The sequence below is a fragment of the Homo sapiens genome, chromosome 12 (assembly GCF_000001405.40).
Source record: "Homo sapiens chromosome 12, GRCh38.p14 Primary Assembly".
Lineage (NCBI taxonomy): Eukaryota > Metazoa > Chordata > Mammalia > Primates > Hominidae > Homo > Homo sapiens.
In genome coordinates, this window is record NC_000012.12 from 12,071,367 (window position 1) to 12,085,336 (window position 13,970).

A 13,970-nucleotide genomic window follows, 5' to 3' on the forward strand; every position below is an offset into this window, starting at 1 on the left:
TTTGCTACAAAGGGTTTGGGACATTCAGTTAAGAACACATTACTGGTTGAGGTATGTGACGTTACTCAGTCTTCTCTGCTTATGTATCTGGGGAGGTATGCAATGACATGACAGCCATTCCGTGGCCAGGGACACCACTGCCCAAGCTGGAGACCACGAGGATTCAGGGACTGAAGCCAGCATGGGAATTCCTGGTTTGAGATCAGAGTCCTGAGTACCTCGTGGGAACTTGGGCACTCATCCGCAGGAGGTCTAGACCCCCAGAGAATTCCTTGAGTCTAAGGCACAGGTAAATGGAAGACCCTTCTCTCTCCTCTCTCCCCTCTAGAAAGCTCCCTCCTCCCTGAGCTCCCTGTCCCCTTCTTTCCACAATCAGAGCCTCGGACCTTCTGTTTGGTGAATATGACCTGAGGCTCTGTCTAGCATTCAGCTTCTATTGTGGGAAGTTAAGGCACTTTCTCTCATTCCTCATTTCACCTTTAGTATTAAAGAACAGTCCAGGCAGAAGGCACGAAGAGCCTGAGAGGTCTGAAGTGAGGGGGAGAGGAGAGGGGCAGAAGGGGAGGCTCCGGACAACAGAACCAAGCTGAGCTTAGGATGTGCTGTGGGAGGCTCCGTGGGGATGAGTGTCAGTGCCCACGAGATCCACTCAGGCCTCAACTGTGTGTCCTGAGCACATGAAGTCAGCTCTTCTGCTGGGACAGCCACCAAGGGATTCTCCACACCCCTCACCGCTGGGACAGGCAGAGGCACAGCGAACCAGGTGTCCAGCGTAACTGGGGCACTGGGTGGTGGCCGCCTCTGTGTGTGGAAACACGAGGTGCTTGCTGCAGTTTCCTCTGTGTGCTTATCCGTTAGCTGCCACCCACCGGGAGGGAAGTGAAATCTCACCTCAACAAGTGAGTCCGCAGAGCGAGAACCGTGCGACAGTGCGTCTGCCAATACCTGGAATGTAGGTGTTCGTTGCAGTGTGGCCTTCCCAGCCGGCCTCTCAGCACACCCGGCCAGGCAGCCAGTGTTCCCAGAGGACACGCTGGGGCCAGACGTGGAGGACCCCGGCCACCTCGGGGAGGGAAAGAGACCAAGAAAAGAACCTCTGTAGCCTTGCTTCTGAGAGTGCAGGTTTGTTACAGGTAAGGATCAGGAAGGTAAACATAGGGCAGTGAAGCAGGGTTGTGTCCTCTGCGGCCCTGAATTAGAATAAGCCTCACAGGTCTCACCCAGGAACGGAAATCTCCCCTCCAGGTTCTGAACCAGCATTCAGAGGCCCCACCCAGGGCTTCTGTCAACATAAGCATAAAACTTATGGTTTACCTTTCCATAAACCCCAAAGTTGGGCTTCTTGTATAGAGTACAATTTCTGTAGGAAGAGCTGAAAGCAGAAGGGATCTAACCTGTGATAATACTCGATCGCTGCTGCTTGAAAGTAAGACTTAGCTATACACTGAACAATCAAGTAATTTATAACAAGGATTAGAGGAAACAAAAACTCTGTGTTTGTGTGGGTGGGTTTTTTTTTTTCTTTATTTTTGTTTCTTAAGAGAGTGTCTCCCTCTGCCACCCAGGCTGGAGTGCACTGGCGCGATCATAGCTCACTGCAGCCTCCAACTCCCAGGCTCAAGCGATTCTCCCCCCTCAGCCTCCCAAGTGGCTGGGACTGCAGGTGCACACCACCACGCCCAGCTAATTTTTTTCATTTTTTGTAGAGACGGAGCCAAGGCTGGTCTTGAACTCCTGGGCTTAAGCGATCCTGCTCCCTGGGCCTCCCAAAGTGCTGGGATTACAGGCGTGAGCCACTGGGTCCGGCATCTACATTTGTTAAATACATTAAAACCCTCTTAATCCTTTGTCTCCGTTTGTTCTCTTTTGCTCCCTGCTCTCCAGGCTCTTGTGGCGGAGGCCCCCGCTCCCTCCGCTGTAGGGTAGCCTCCTTCTGGGGCTGGCTCCTGAGCACTGTTCTTTCTCCTCTCTCTCATCCTCTCTCATTCTTAGCTTTGCCTGTCGACTGGGCCAAGTCACAGCCTTTCTGGCCTGTAAGACAACAAAAATCTCACATTTTACTAAATGGAAGGACTAAGTACTCTGTCTTGACTTCAGTGGTTTCCCCGATTTCTGATGTTGCTGCTGAAATAGCATTAGCAAGCTTGTTTCTTAAAGAAGCCCTCTCTCCAGTGACAATACTCCCCCCGCCACACACACACACATGCACACGCACACACAAACATGCATGCACGCGCACACACACACACAATTTTAAAGCCCTCGTGTTATATTAAAAAGGTCTGGATGTTTTTAACATACATGGAAATTTCTTCAGCAGCACAGTGTTACTGGTCTGACGAGGGCGCACAGCCTCCTACCCAAGGACACAGTTCCTGAAGGACCAGGGTGCACATCTGGCCTGCAGTGCCCTGAGCCACTCTGTCCAAAAGGAAGCCTTGAATCAAAAGCCTCATGAATCCTCTCCTGAGAAATTCCATGTCTGGTCTCTTGCTAGACTCAGCCTTTTCCCCACCAAGTCTGCCGCACCTAATTCTGACCTCACCCTGCTTGGTGGCCCGCTTTGCCTGCTTGCACGCACCTCAGGTCTCAGTGTGTCTCAGCAACAGCTTCCCCTCCTAGGGTGGCCAGAGTTAGCAAGCAAGAATGCAAGACAGCCAGTTATGTTTGAATTTCAGATAAATAACAAATATAAGTGTCTTTTAGCATATAATATTTTATTTGGGACATATACTAATATTTATTATATATTAGTCTCATGATATTTGGGACATATACTAAAAAATTATTTGCCCTTTATCTGAACTTCAAATGTGACCAAATGTGTCCTGTATTCTGAATGTGTCTGGCAGTCCTATAATCATTCATTCAGTCAGTCATCAGATATTTGAGCACCTACCATGTATCAAGCACTATTCTAGAGAGCCCGGATAGCTCAGTCAGTAGAGCATCAAGCGCTACTCTAGGTGCTGGGGAAGCCAGCCAAAGTCCCGCCTTCATATCTTACAGTATGTCTACTTTGTTTTTATATACATGTACACTATATATACTTGAAGATATGTACCTTTTTCTTTTTTTCTTTTTATTATTTTTTTTTGAGACAGAGTCTGACTCTATTACTCAGTGCAGTGGCACCATCTCAGCTCACTGCAACTTCTACCTCCTGGGTTCAAGTGATTCTCCAGCCTCAGCCTCCCAAGTAGCTAGGATTACAGGCATGTGCCACCATACCTGGCTAATTTTTGTATTTTTAGTAGAGACAAAGTTTCACCATGTTGGCCAGGCTTGTCTTGAACTCCTGACCTCAAGTGATCTGCCCACCTCGGCCTCCCAAAGTGCTAGGATTACAGGCGTGAGCCACCGCGCCCAGCCCAGATATGTACTTTTTAATGGCAATGTTACCACATTTAATGAGATTATCTTTTTAAAAAATGTTTTAATTTTTAAATTTTAAAAAATAGGGATGGGATCTTACTTTGTTGCCTAGACTGGTCTCCAAATCCAGGTCTCAAGTGATCCTCCCACCTTGGCCTCCTAAGGTGGTGGGATTACAGGTGTGAGCCACGGTGCCAGCCAAGATGATCAATACTTCCTTAATATCATCTAAAACATACACTGTACTGTGTTTAGTTCTCTATCATCTCAAAGATATCTACATCTTTATACAGTATGTTTGAATTACGATTTAATAAAGATCCACTCATGACATCTAATTGATGTCTCTTTTTTTTTAATATGTTTCTTTTTTTTCTTTTTATTTATTTATTTATTTTTGAGACAGAGTCTCCGTGTGTCACCCAGGCTGGAGTGCAATGGCGCGATCCCCGCTCACTGCAACCTTTGCCTCCCAGGTTCAAGTGATTCTCCTGTTGCAGTCTCCCAACTCACTGGAATTACAGGCACCTGCCATCATGCCCAGCTAATTTTTGTATTTTTTTTAGAGACAGGGTTTCACCACGTTGGCCAGGCTGCTCTTGAACTCCTGCCTCCCAAAGTGCTGGGATTACAGGCGTGAACGATTGTGCCCTGCCTGATATGTTTCTATTCTTTCTTTCTTTCTTTCTTTCTTTTTTTTTTGAGACGGAGTTTCGCTGTTGTTGCCCAGGCTGGATGCAATGGCGTGATCTCGGCTCACTGCAACCTCCGCCTCCTGGGTTCAAGTGATTCTCCTGCCTCAGCCTCCCGAGTAGCTGGGATTGCAGGCATGTGCCACCATGCCTGGCTAATTTTGTATTTTTAGTAGAGACGGGGTTTCTCCATGTTGGTCAGGCTGGTCTCAAACTCCCGACCTCTGGTGAACTACCCGCCTTGGCCTCCCAAAGTGCTAGGATTACAGGCGTGAGCCATCGTCCCCTGCCGGATATGTTTCTTATGTCTCTTTTAAGCTGTAGCAGTTCTCTGTCTTCACCTTTTTTTGGCGCCATTTATTTGTTGAAGAAACCGGCCATTTGTCTTGCAGAACTTACCAGATACTGAATTTGGATAGCTGCCTTCTTGTGGTCATTAGTTTATTTCTCTGTCCCCTGTATTTCCTGTAAACTGATCATTAGATCCAGAGGCTTGATCAGATTCGGATCCAATGTTTTTGGATCAGGAGACACATAATGGTTGTCTCACCTTTAGTGAGACCAAGATTGGTCATTGGGAACAGGGAAGTGGAGCTGGGGTGAGTATAGGGTCACCAGATGTCCAGTACAAGCAGAATGGACAGGGCTGTGCTGCAGGATGGATGAGGGGAGGGTGGGATGCCCGGAAAATGCATGGGGGAGGGTGGGATGCCCGGAAAATGCATGGGGGAGGGTGGGATGCCCGGAAAATGCATGGGGGAGGGTGGGATGCCCGGAAAATGCATGGGGGAGGGTGGGATTGGATGGAATTGGGGAGCGGGAAGGGGTAAGTGGAAAAGCAGTAAGGAACATGACCTTCGAGGAGACACTGACGTGACTCCTTACAGAGCAAACGATTTGCATGTAAGTGAAATGCATGTAAGTGAATGTGAAATTGGAGCAGTGGCGGGAAGAAAGATTGTCCAAGCCCTGGAATAAGACAGGAATGTGAAGAAACAGCAGAGGAGGAGGAAGGATTGCAGTCATGACCCCCACTTCATGCCATACTCCTCAAGCATTTGCTTACATCCAGTTATGTGAGGGAGGTTTGCGGGGCTTGGAAGTTGTATAATTGTATCTGTGTAGTTGGTCTGGTGGGTTTTGCAACTTGCCCTTTGCTGCACTGGGAGGGCCATTTTTGTCCCCTCCAGCATCACCTGATGTTGCAGCATAGCCCGCTGCATCCCTCCCAGGCTCACTTCCATCAGAACGCACCTAGCCAGGGACCCTTGCTTTCCTGGGGCCTGGCCAAGGAGCAGTTCCTCAGATCAACAGCTTCGCTATCAGCCAATGTGAGCCTCTTCTAAGTAAAGGAGAGGAGACAGTGATGGAAAAAGGCAGCATCCAGCAGGCCCTCAGGGGAGATATTTCAGCTCCTACACCTCCTTCCAATAGCAGAACCAGGGGGAAAAGTTAGAGAATATCCTTATTCTATCTAACAACTTGGACACCGAGGAACAAAAAGGTGGCGTGACTTGCCCAAGGATGTTGCAGGTTAGAAGCTGAGCCAGCCGTGGCTATCCATCCTTCAGACACCCAGGCCAACTTGTCTGTACCACCTCACATTGCCTCAAACCCTGTCTGCAGTTACTGTCCCATTTCTTTATCATTTGGTCCTGGTATGACAAGGTACAGTGGAAAGAAAAAGAGGAACATGCCAGCCAGTCCCCTTAATATTACTGCAGCTTCTTTATCATCACAGCAGCTTACATGCCGAAAGACCGTCTTAAATTAGGACCAGAAAGGGAAGGGAACATTATTAAGAGCCATATTAAGACAGAGCCTGAGGCCGGGCATGGTAGCTCATGGCTGTAATCTCAGCACTTTGGGAGGCTGAGGCAGGTGGATCACTTGAGCCCAGGAGTTTCGCACCAGACTGGGCAACATAGCGAGACCTTGTCTCTAAAAGACAAAACAAAAAAATTAGCCAGGTGTGGTGGCATGTGCCTGTGTTCCCAGCTACTTGAGGGGCTGAGGTGAGAGAATCCCTTGAGCCGGGGAGGTTGAGGCTGTGGTGAGCTATGATCTGCACTCCAGCCTGGGCAACAGAGCAAAACTGAGTCTCAAAAAAAAAAAAAAAAAGAGAGCCTGGGGCCTAGGACAACAGCTGAACTAGAAAAAAAACATAGCTACCACTTTTGAACCAGGTTCTGTGCAGGAACTTCTCTTGTGTATCTTACACCCTTACAATATCCCTGCAAGATGACTATTATTATTTACAATTTGCCTGCAGGAAGTTCATGTTTGGAGAGATGGAGTAACCTGCCACAGGTCACAAAACTAGTCACTGGCATGGCCACAATCTGAATTTGGGACTGTTAGACTGAGAAGCCCAAGCTAATTCTTGATACGCTCACTGCCTGGGACATTTCACACGGTAGATCTGAGCTTTCTCGCATCTGAGACTAAAAGGAAAATGTAGTCCTTAACAGACAGCAGAAGGAAACAGATTATTAGCAAAAAGAACTGCTTTCCTAGCAGGAAACCAGAGAAGGAGTTATTTCATGTAAGCTCAAGCAAAGGAAATTGAACAAAATCAGTTCTTTATCTATCCTGTTATTCGTATGGAAATAAAGAAGAAATGCTTGCATCCTGTTGTTTTAGTGCTTGTACTGATCTTTTTCAAACATGCCTGTGATCACATCACTCTCTACTCAAAACTTTGAACAGCTCTCCATTGCCTCCATCAGTGTGTTTCAAATTCGTAAAAAGTAAAATAAAATAACAGGATGCTTTTTTCAGATGAAATCTTACATGGCATACCAAATATAGCAAGAAAAAAGAAAGAGAGAGAGAGAGGAGAGAGAAGCCGGGACAAGCTAAAGCAGAGGGTAGAGGGAGAAGGAACCGAGGAAGGGAAGGGTCAGGTCCCAGGCATTTCTCTTCCCTGAATTGGCCTCCCTCTTTTGCCACCTCCCCAGCAAGACCTTTAACTCCACAGTCCACAGCTCATTTTGAAATGTACTGATCAACGTGAGAAAATGCGAAGCTTCAGCCTGATAGTCAAAGACCACCATAATCTGGACCCAAGTGCTAGTTCACTTATTTTCCCTCCACTATTTTCAAGCCCTGGCTATTTGCAAACTGCATACGTATGCTGTCCCAGTTCTCTCACCACTCTTCAAACACATTCTGAATTCACCTATAATCTCCCCTCTGCCCGCCCTGTTGTAGCCCCAATATCCACCCACCTGTCTAACTCCTTCTAGCTTTCCAAAAGCTTTCACTTGCCTCTTTCTTTGAAGCTCACCTATCCCTGCCTTCTAACCTGGCTATCTGCATCTCTGTTAGACCTCTTACTTAGTTCATTAGTTCATTCTCTCTCTGTTGTTTTTTGTTTTTTGAGACGGAGTCTCACTCTGTCGCCAGGCTGGAGTGCAGTGGCGCAATCTCAGCTCACTACAACCCCCGACTCCTGGGTTCAAGCGATTCTTCTGCCGCAGCCTCCCAAGTAGCCGGGTCTACAGGCGTGCGCCACCATGCCTGGCTAATTTTTGTATCTTTAGTAGAGACGGGCTTTCACTGTATAGGCCAGGCTGGTCTTGAACTCCTGACCTCATGATCTGCCCGCCTTGGCCTCCCAAAGTTTTGGGATTACAGGCGTGAGCCACCGCACCCGGCAGTTCATTTTCTTTATGTGGAGTTATCTATGGCCATGTCTCTCTTCCCACCCTAGTAAGACTGTGGCTTTTCCCTCTCTACCCTCCAGCACAAACACAATAGATGTTCAATAAATGTTTCCTGAGTTTTCACCCCTGTCTCTCCTAACCTGCAAAGGGTAAGTGGCCCTGCATAGAAGGGCACAGTGTGGACTTTGTTGTTACAGGCCCAACATGTGTAGCACCAGTGGGTGTGACCTGGAAGAAATCCCCCTAGATGATGATGACCTAAACACCATAGAATTCAAAATCCTCGCCTACTACACCAGACATCATGTCTTCAAGAGCACCCCTGCTCTCTTCTCACCAAAGCTGCTGAGAACAAGAAGTTTGTCCCAGAGGGGCCTGGGGAATTGTTCAGCAAATGAGTCATGGACAGAGGTGTCATGGCCTTGCAGAAATTCCCAATCCAGTGAGAAGGCCATAAACCTTGGCAAGAAAAAGTCTTCTTGGAAAGCATTCTTTGGAGTAGTGGAGAAGGAAGATTCGCAGAGCACGCCTGCCAAGGTCTCTGCTCAGGGTCAAAGGACGTTGGAATACCAAGATTCGCACAGCCAGCAGTGGTCCAGGTGTCTTTCTAACGTGGAGCAGTGCTTGGAGCATGAAGGTAGGCATCTGGGATTTCTTTCTCTCCCGCTTCCTGGTTTTTCCCTTCTTTGTGTCCAGAGTGGTACATCTCTTCTCATGTTGTAAAGTGGCTTTAGAGAAGGCATGCGTTGTGCCTCAGCTTTCCAACTTATTAGTGTTCAATCATAATTGCCCTGCTTTTCTCAAGACTAAAAGGAGTTGCTGCCTGGGCGCGGTGGCTCACGCCTGTAATCCCAGCACTCTGGGAGGCCAAGGCGGGTGGATCATGAGGTCAGGAGATTGAGACCATCCTGGCTAACACGGTAAAACCCCGTCTCCACTAAAAAATACAAAAAATTAGCCGGGCGTGTTGGCGGGTGCCTGTAGTCCCAGCTACTCGGGAGGCTGAGGCAGGAGAATGGCGTGAACCCAGCAGGCGGAGCTTGCAGTGAGCCAAGATGGCATCACTGCACTCCAGCTTGGGTGACAGAGTGAGACTCCGTCAAAAAAAAAAAAATGACTAAAAGGAAATGATGGAAGTTAAGGGTGCTGGGACTGGTTTTCTTTCTCCACTGTCTATAAATAAGCTTGTTTCCCAAATTCCTAGTCCTCTGTACCAGACACCAATATAAAAGAAGGAGGCTAGGCGCAGTGGCTCATGCCTGTAATTCCAGCACTTTGGAAGGTTGAGGTGGGCAGATCATAAGGTCAGGAGTTCAAGACTAGCCTGGCCAACATAGTGAAAACCCGTCTCTACTAAAGATACAAAAAATTAGCCGGGCATGGTGGCGCATGCTTGTATTCCCAGCTACTCGGGAGGCTGGGGCAAGAGAATCGCTTGAACCTGGGAGGCGGAGGTTGCAGTGAGCCGAGATTGCATCACTGCACTCCAGCCTGAGCTACAGGGTAAGACTTTGTCTCAAAAAAAAAAAAAAAAAAGAACGAGCCCTAACCAGGGGCTTGCTTGGGCTGCCTGGGCCGCTGCTCTTCCTAAGTCAACTCATTCGCTCAGGGCCTCTGTGTTTCCATCTGTACATTGGGTACCCCACTCTCTCCACCTCGTATGGTTGATGGGAAGATCAGAGAGCAAGAGTAAAAGGACTCTTGACAAAGTACAAACCATCCTACAAAAACAACTGAGAAGCATTTAGACAAAATCTTCCCTCAGTTGGACAAAATTAATTGTACTTAATGAAACATTTTCACCAGGCACTGAGGCTCATACCTGTAATCCCAGCACTTTGGGAGGCCAAGGTGGGTGGATCGGTTGAGCTCAGGAGTTCAAGACCAGCCTTAGCAACATGGCAAAACCCTGTCTCTACCAAAAAATACAAAAAAATTAGTCAGACATGGTGGTGCACGCCTGTGGTCCTGGCTACTCGGGAGGCTGAGGTGGGAGGATGGCTTGAGCCTGGGAAGTAGAGGTTGCAGTGAGCCAAGATGATGCCACTGCACTCCAGCCTGGGTGACAGAGTGAGAGCCCATCACGTCGATACTCTCAGCACTGTGGGAAACCAAGGCAGGAGGATCACTTGACACCAAGAGTTTGAGATCAGCCTGGCATCATAGCAAGACCCTGTCTCCATTAAAAAATTAAAATAAAAAAATTAGCGAGGCATGGTGGCACATGCCTGTTGTCCCAGCTACTATGGAGGCTGAGGTGGAAGGATCACTTGAGCTCAGGAGGTCAAGGCTGCAGTGAGCGAAGATCACATCACTGCACCCCAGCTCTGGGTGACATAATGAGACTCTGTCTCCAAAAAAAAAAAAAAAAAGACAGTTGCCCTTCATGCGCACACCTTGGCATAAGCATCTTCTTCCCCTTCAACAAAGCCCAGTGCCCAAAGCCCAGATTTTTTTTTTTTTTTTAAGGTGTTTTAGATGGAGTCTTGCTCTGTCGCCCAGGCTGGAGTGCTGTGGTGTAATCTCGGCTCACTGCAAGCTCCGCCTCCCAGGTTCAAGCAATTCTCCTGCCTCAGCCTCCTGAGTAGCTGGGATCACAGGCGCGCACCACCAGGCCTGGCTAATTTTTGTATTTTTAGTAGAGACAGCGTTTCACCATGTTGGTCAGGCTGGCCTCGAACTCCTGACCTCGTGATCTGCCCACCTTGGGCTCCCGAAGTGCTGGGATTACAAGTGTGAGCCACTGCACCCAGCCGCAAAGCCAGATTTTAAAAGAAAGGCCCCCTCCTGCTGAGTTTCATTGGCCTGGGTAACTTGTCAATAATTAGTCAAGAGGTGGCAGTAATGTCTCAGTTTTTAAATGTGACAGTCCTGGCTTGCTTGGAGAATCAGCCCACTCATAGACAGCTTTAGATCACTCACTATGATCAAGGAAACTCCCTTTTCCCATTAGAGTTTCAGATGTTTAGAACAGTGGGAGTTATGGTCAGGATCATCTGAGGGAACCTCATGGCACAGACAGGATGAGGAAATGGGAGTCCCACAAAAAGGGCTTACCAAGGAAACATCCAGGAAGTAGCAGAGCCTGGACTCACCAGAAGTCCAGGCCTCTCCCTAGACTTGTTTCATTTTTACAGCAAGGCATCTGCTCTCTGAACTCTGCCCAGCTAGGGCAGGTCTAGGGCAAGAGGGAGCGGCCCCCTGTGGTCCTTCCCTCCACATCTGCCTCCCCACCCCTCAGCTGCCCTCACCCAGCCATGGCTTCTTCTGCCGGGGGTGGCATCTGGGCTCTGGGGCAAAGAACAGTTTGGAGGCACCTAAATAGGCTTTTCTACTTGGCCTGTACTGTGGACTTTGCCAGCAGACAGAGAAAGCTTTTACAGACCTTAGTCTTCTGGTTTTTCCTGAGATAAATTGCATTCTGTATTTCAGTATTTACTGGAGTGTCATTTGACATTTTTTTTATTTTCTAAAATTTCAAGAGAAGCTTTTATTTCTTTTTTCAGTAGGGAAAGAAAACTTTTATGTGAGATTGAGAATTAAAGATTACATTCAAAAACACTTAGGTGATGTGTTAATGTGCTGAATAGCTGAATAGTACCTATGGCTGAATAATATTCTCCATAAAAAATGAAAAATGATTACCTCCTAAGAAGGCTTTAAACACATATTTACAGCTTATCTTCCCTTATCACCTTTCTCCTCACGCTTGCATTTAGTCAGTTAATTGTGTGTTTTTTACTTGTGTTACTTGTGTCGGTTTTACATTGAGCGTGATCCAAGAGAGCCTCACATTCTATTTCTATTTTGCCACATACAAATCAGGCCTTGCAAATTTGGTTTCTCCTGGGTTCTTTTTTGTTTGTTTGTTTGTTGTTTTTGAGACAGAGTCTTGCTCTGTCACCCAGGCTGGAGTGCAGTGGCCTGATCTCGGCTCACTGCAACCTCTGCCTCCTGGGTTCACACCATTCTCCTGCCTCAGCCTCCCGAGTAGCTGGGACTACGGGCGCCCACCACCACGCCCGGCTAATTTTTTGTATTTTTAGTAGAGACAGGGTTTCATCGTGTTAGCCAGGATGGTCTCGATCTCCTGGCCTCGTGATCTGTCCGCCTCAGCCTCCCAAAGTGCTGGGATTACAGGCGTGAGCCACCGTGCCTGGCCTCACCTGGGTTATTTTAACTGTAAGTCACTATGTAGCCTTGTACAGCCACTGCCAGGCCTCAGTACCGGGCTTACATGGGAACTGTGAGATTATGTCCCAAGACCAAACTCTGTTAGGAAGAGGCCTCAGGATGCAGAGAAATGGACAATAACACCAGTTTTAAAGACTACCAACCCAGGCTCTTTCACTTGTGAATCTTTTGTTTCTCCATAGCTACGATTTGCTCACGTGGAATGTTATAGTTAAGGTGAGGTTCAGCGATATACAGTGGAACACTCAAATACCCATGGCTTAAATAATATACAGGTTTGCTTTTCTCTCCTTTAAAAGAGGACAAAAGTTTGGCAGCTCAGGCATGATATGACAGCTCCACAAAGTTATTAAGAATTTCTGGGAATGGCCAGGCAGGGTGGCTCATGCCTATAATCCCAGCCCTTTGGGAGTCTGAGGTGGGCAGATCACTTGAGCCAAAGAGTTTGAGACCAGCCTGAGCAACATGACAAAACCCCGTCTCTATTAAAAAAAATACAAAAATTAGCCAGGCGCCATGGTGCGCGCCTGCAGTCTCAGCTACTCGAGAGGCTGAAGGAGGAGAATCACTTGAGCCTGGGAGGCGCAGGTTGCACTGAGCTGAGATCACACCATTGCACTCCAGCTTGGATGACGGGGTGAAAAAAAGAATTCCTGGGAATTCTGCCATCCCTCAGCTCGTGGCTTCCACCTCAAAGTCACCTTATATTCTAAAGGTGGCTGTTGGGGCTTCACCCATCATGTCTACATCTCAGGCAAGAATAAAAAGGAAGCAAAGGAAGGGCAAAGGGTGCCTTCTTTCTAGGTAATTCAGCTCCCTTTTATTTTATTATTATTTTTTAATCTTTTGTAAAGATGGGGTCTGTGTTACCCAGGCTGGTCTCGAACTCCTGGCCTAAAATGATGGCCTCGCCTTGGCCTCCCAAAATGCTGGGATTACGGGCGTGAGCCACCGCACCCAGCCTTAGCTCCCTTTTCGAGAGCTTTCTTGAAACTGCCCCCAGCTTCTGACATCTCATTGGCCCTTCCCTACTGCAAGGGAGCCCAGGGAATATAGTTTGTTCAGCTGGGTTCATTGCTGCCCCTCACATTTTAGAGGTCTGTTACTAAGGAAGAAGAAGAAAGTGGATACTGAGTGGGAAAGAGCAGTCCATAAGGAAGTCACACCCCAACCCCCTGCCCTTTCTCTTTAAAACAAATGCCTCAGACCACAGGCGAAATGGGACCTTCCGACCCTGTTGGCCTGCTCTTCCTGGCGCCACGATGACCCCCAAAACAGACTCCAAGGAACAGACAGCCTTTCTGTCTTCTCCCCACCCCATCCAGTGTTCCCTCGCCTATCAGACAGGACCAAGTCTGACAAGGATATAATCTTTTCTTTTTCATGTTTTAAAATTAAAATATCCAAGATGGGAATTTTAACTAGAGCTAGTGCATCTGTGGGAACATGTTTGCTTATAGTTTCTCCTGGACATGTCTCACTCCATGTCCACAAACCCACAGAAATCAATACCCTGCTGTAACCCCAGCACTTTGGGAGGCTGAGGCAGGAGGATCACCTGAGGTCAAGAGTTCAAGACCAGCCTGGCCAACATGGCAAAACCCTGTCTCTACTGAAAATATACAAAAATTAGCTGGACGTAGTGGCGGGAGCCACTACGTCCTGTAATCCCAGCTACACAGGAGGCTGAGGCAGAGAGAATGGCTTGAACCCAGAAGGTGGAGGTTGCAGCGAGCCGAGATCGTGCCATTGCACTCCAGCCTGGGCAACAGAGCGAGACTCCGTCTCAAAAAAAAAAAAAAAAAAAAAGTCAATACCCTGTACACAGTTAGCCAGATTGAGTAATTTTGTACCTGTTGGTGATCTTGTGGCCACCCTGCCTTATGAGAGGAGGAGGGGACAGAGCCTTTGGGACCCTTCATGGAGCTTCTTAATGTGCAAGATGGGCACAGGGTGCTTTCTGGTGGTAGAACCGCATGCTGATTACCCTAGATGAGCTGCACAAGGTTGAAAAGGCAGCAGAGGCCTGCTTTCCTTTCTC

General features: G+C 47.9%; 1 protein-coding gene across 5 annotated transcripts in view, besides 2 other annotated features; it reads left to right on the plus strand.

The window, feature by feature from the left end:
• The window catches only part of BCL2L14 (BCL2 like 14), a 49,835-nt gene that overhangs the window by 21,506 nt on the left and 14,359 nt on the right, over positions 1-13,970 (plus strand). For 2 of the 5 annotated variants that reach the window (NM_030766.2, NM_138722.2), the window contains exons 1-2: positions 37-289; positions 7,933-8,372. In NM_030766.2, coding sequence (NP_110393.1) covers positions 7,940-8,372 — 433 coding nt within the window. In that variant the 5' untranslated portion in view covers positions 37-289; positions 7,933-7,939. Of the gene's footprint in view, positions 1-36; positions 290-6,339; positions 6,613-7,932; positions 8,373-13,970 lie in introns of those variants that run through there. The other 3 variants (NM_001370268.1, NM_138723.2, NM_001370269.1) reach the window with 2 other exon arrangements.
• Positions 1,617-2,304: an enhancer, noted in NCBI's record as "H3K27ac-H3K4me1 hESC enhancer chr12:12225917-12226604 (GRCh37/hg19 assembly coordinates)". NCBI's record gives its function as "activates a minimal SCP1, AML or CMV promoter by ChIP-STARR-seq in naive H9 embryonic stem cells {active_cell/tissue: H9 hESC(naive)}" and the evidence as "EXISTENCE:reporter gene assay evidence [ECO:0000049][PMID:30033119]".
• Positions 10,469-10,763: a silencer, noted in NCBI's record as "tiled region #14349; K562 Repressive DNase unmatched - State 8:EnhW". NCBI's record gives its function as "represses a minimal TATA promoter and a strong SV40 promoter by Sharpr-MPRA in K562 cells {active_cell/tissue: K562}" and the evidence as "EXISTENCE:reporter gene assay evidence [ECO:0000049][PMID:27701403]".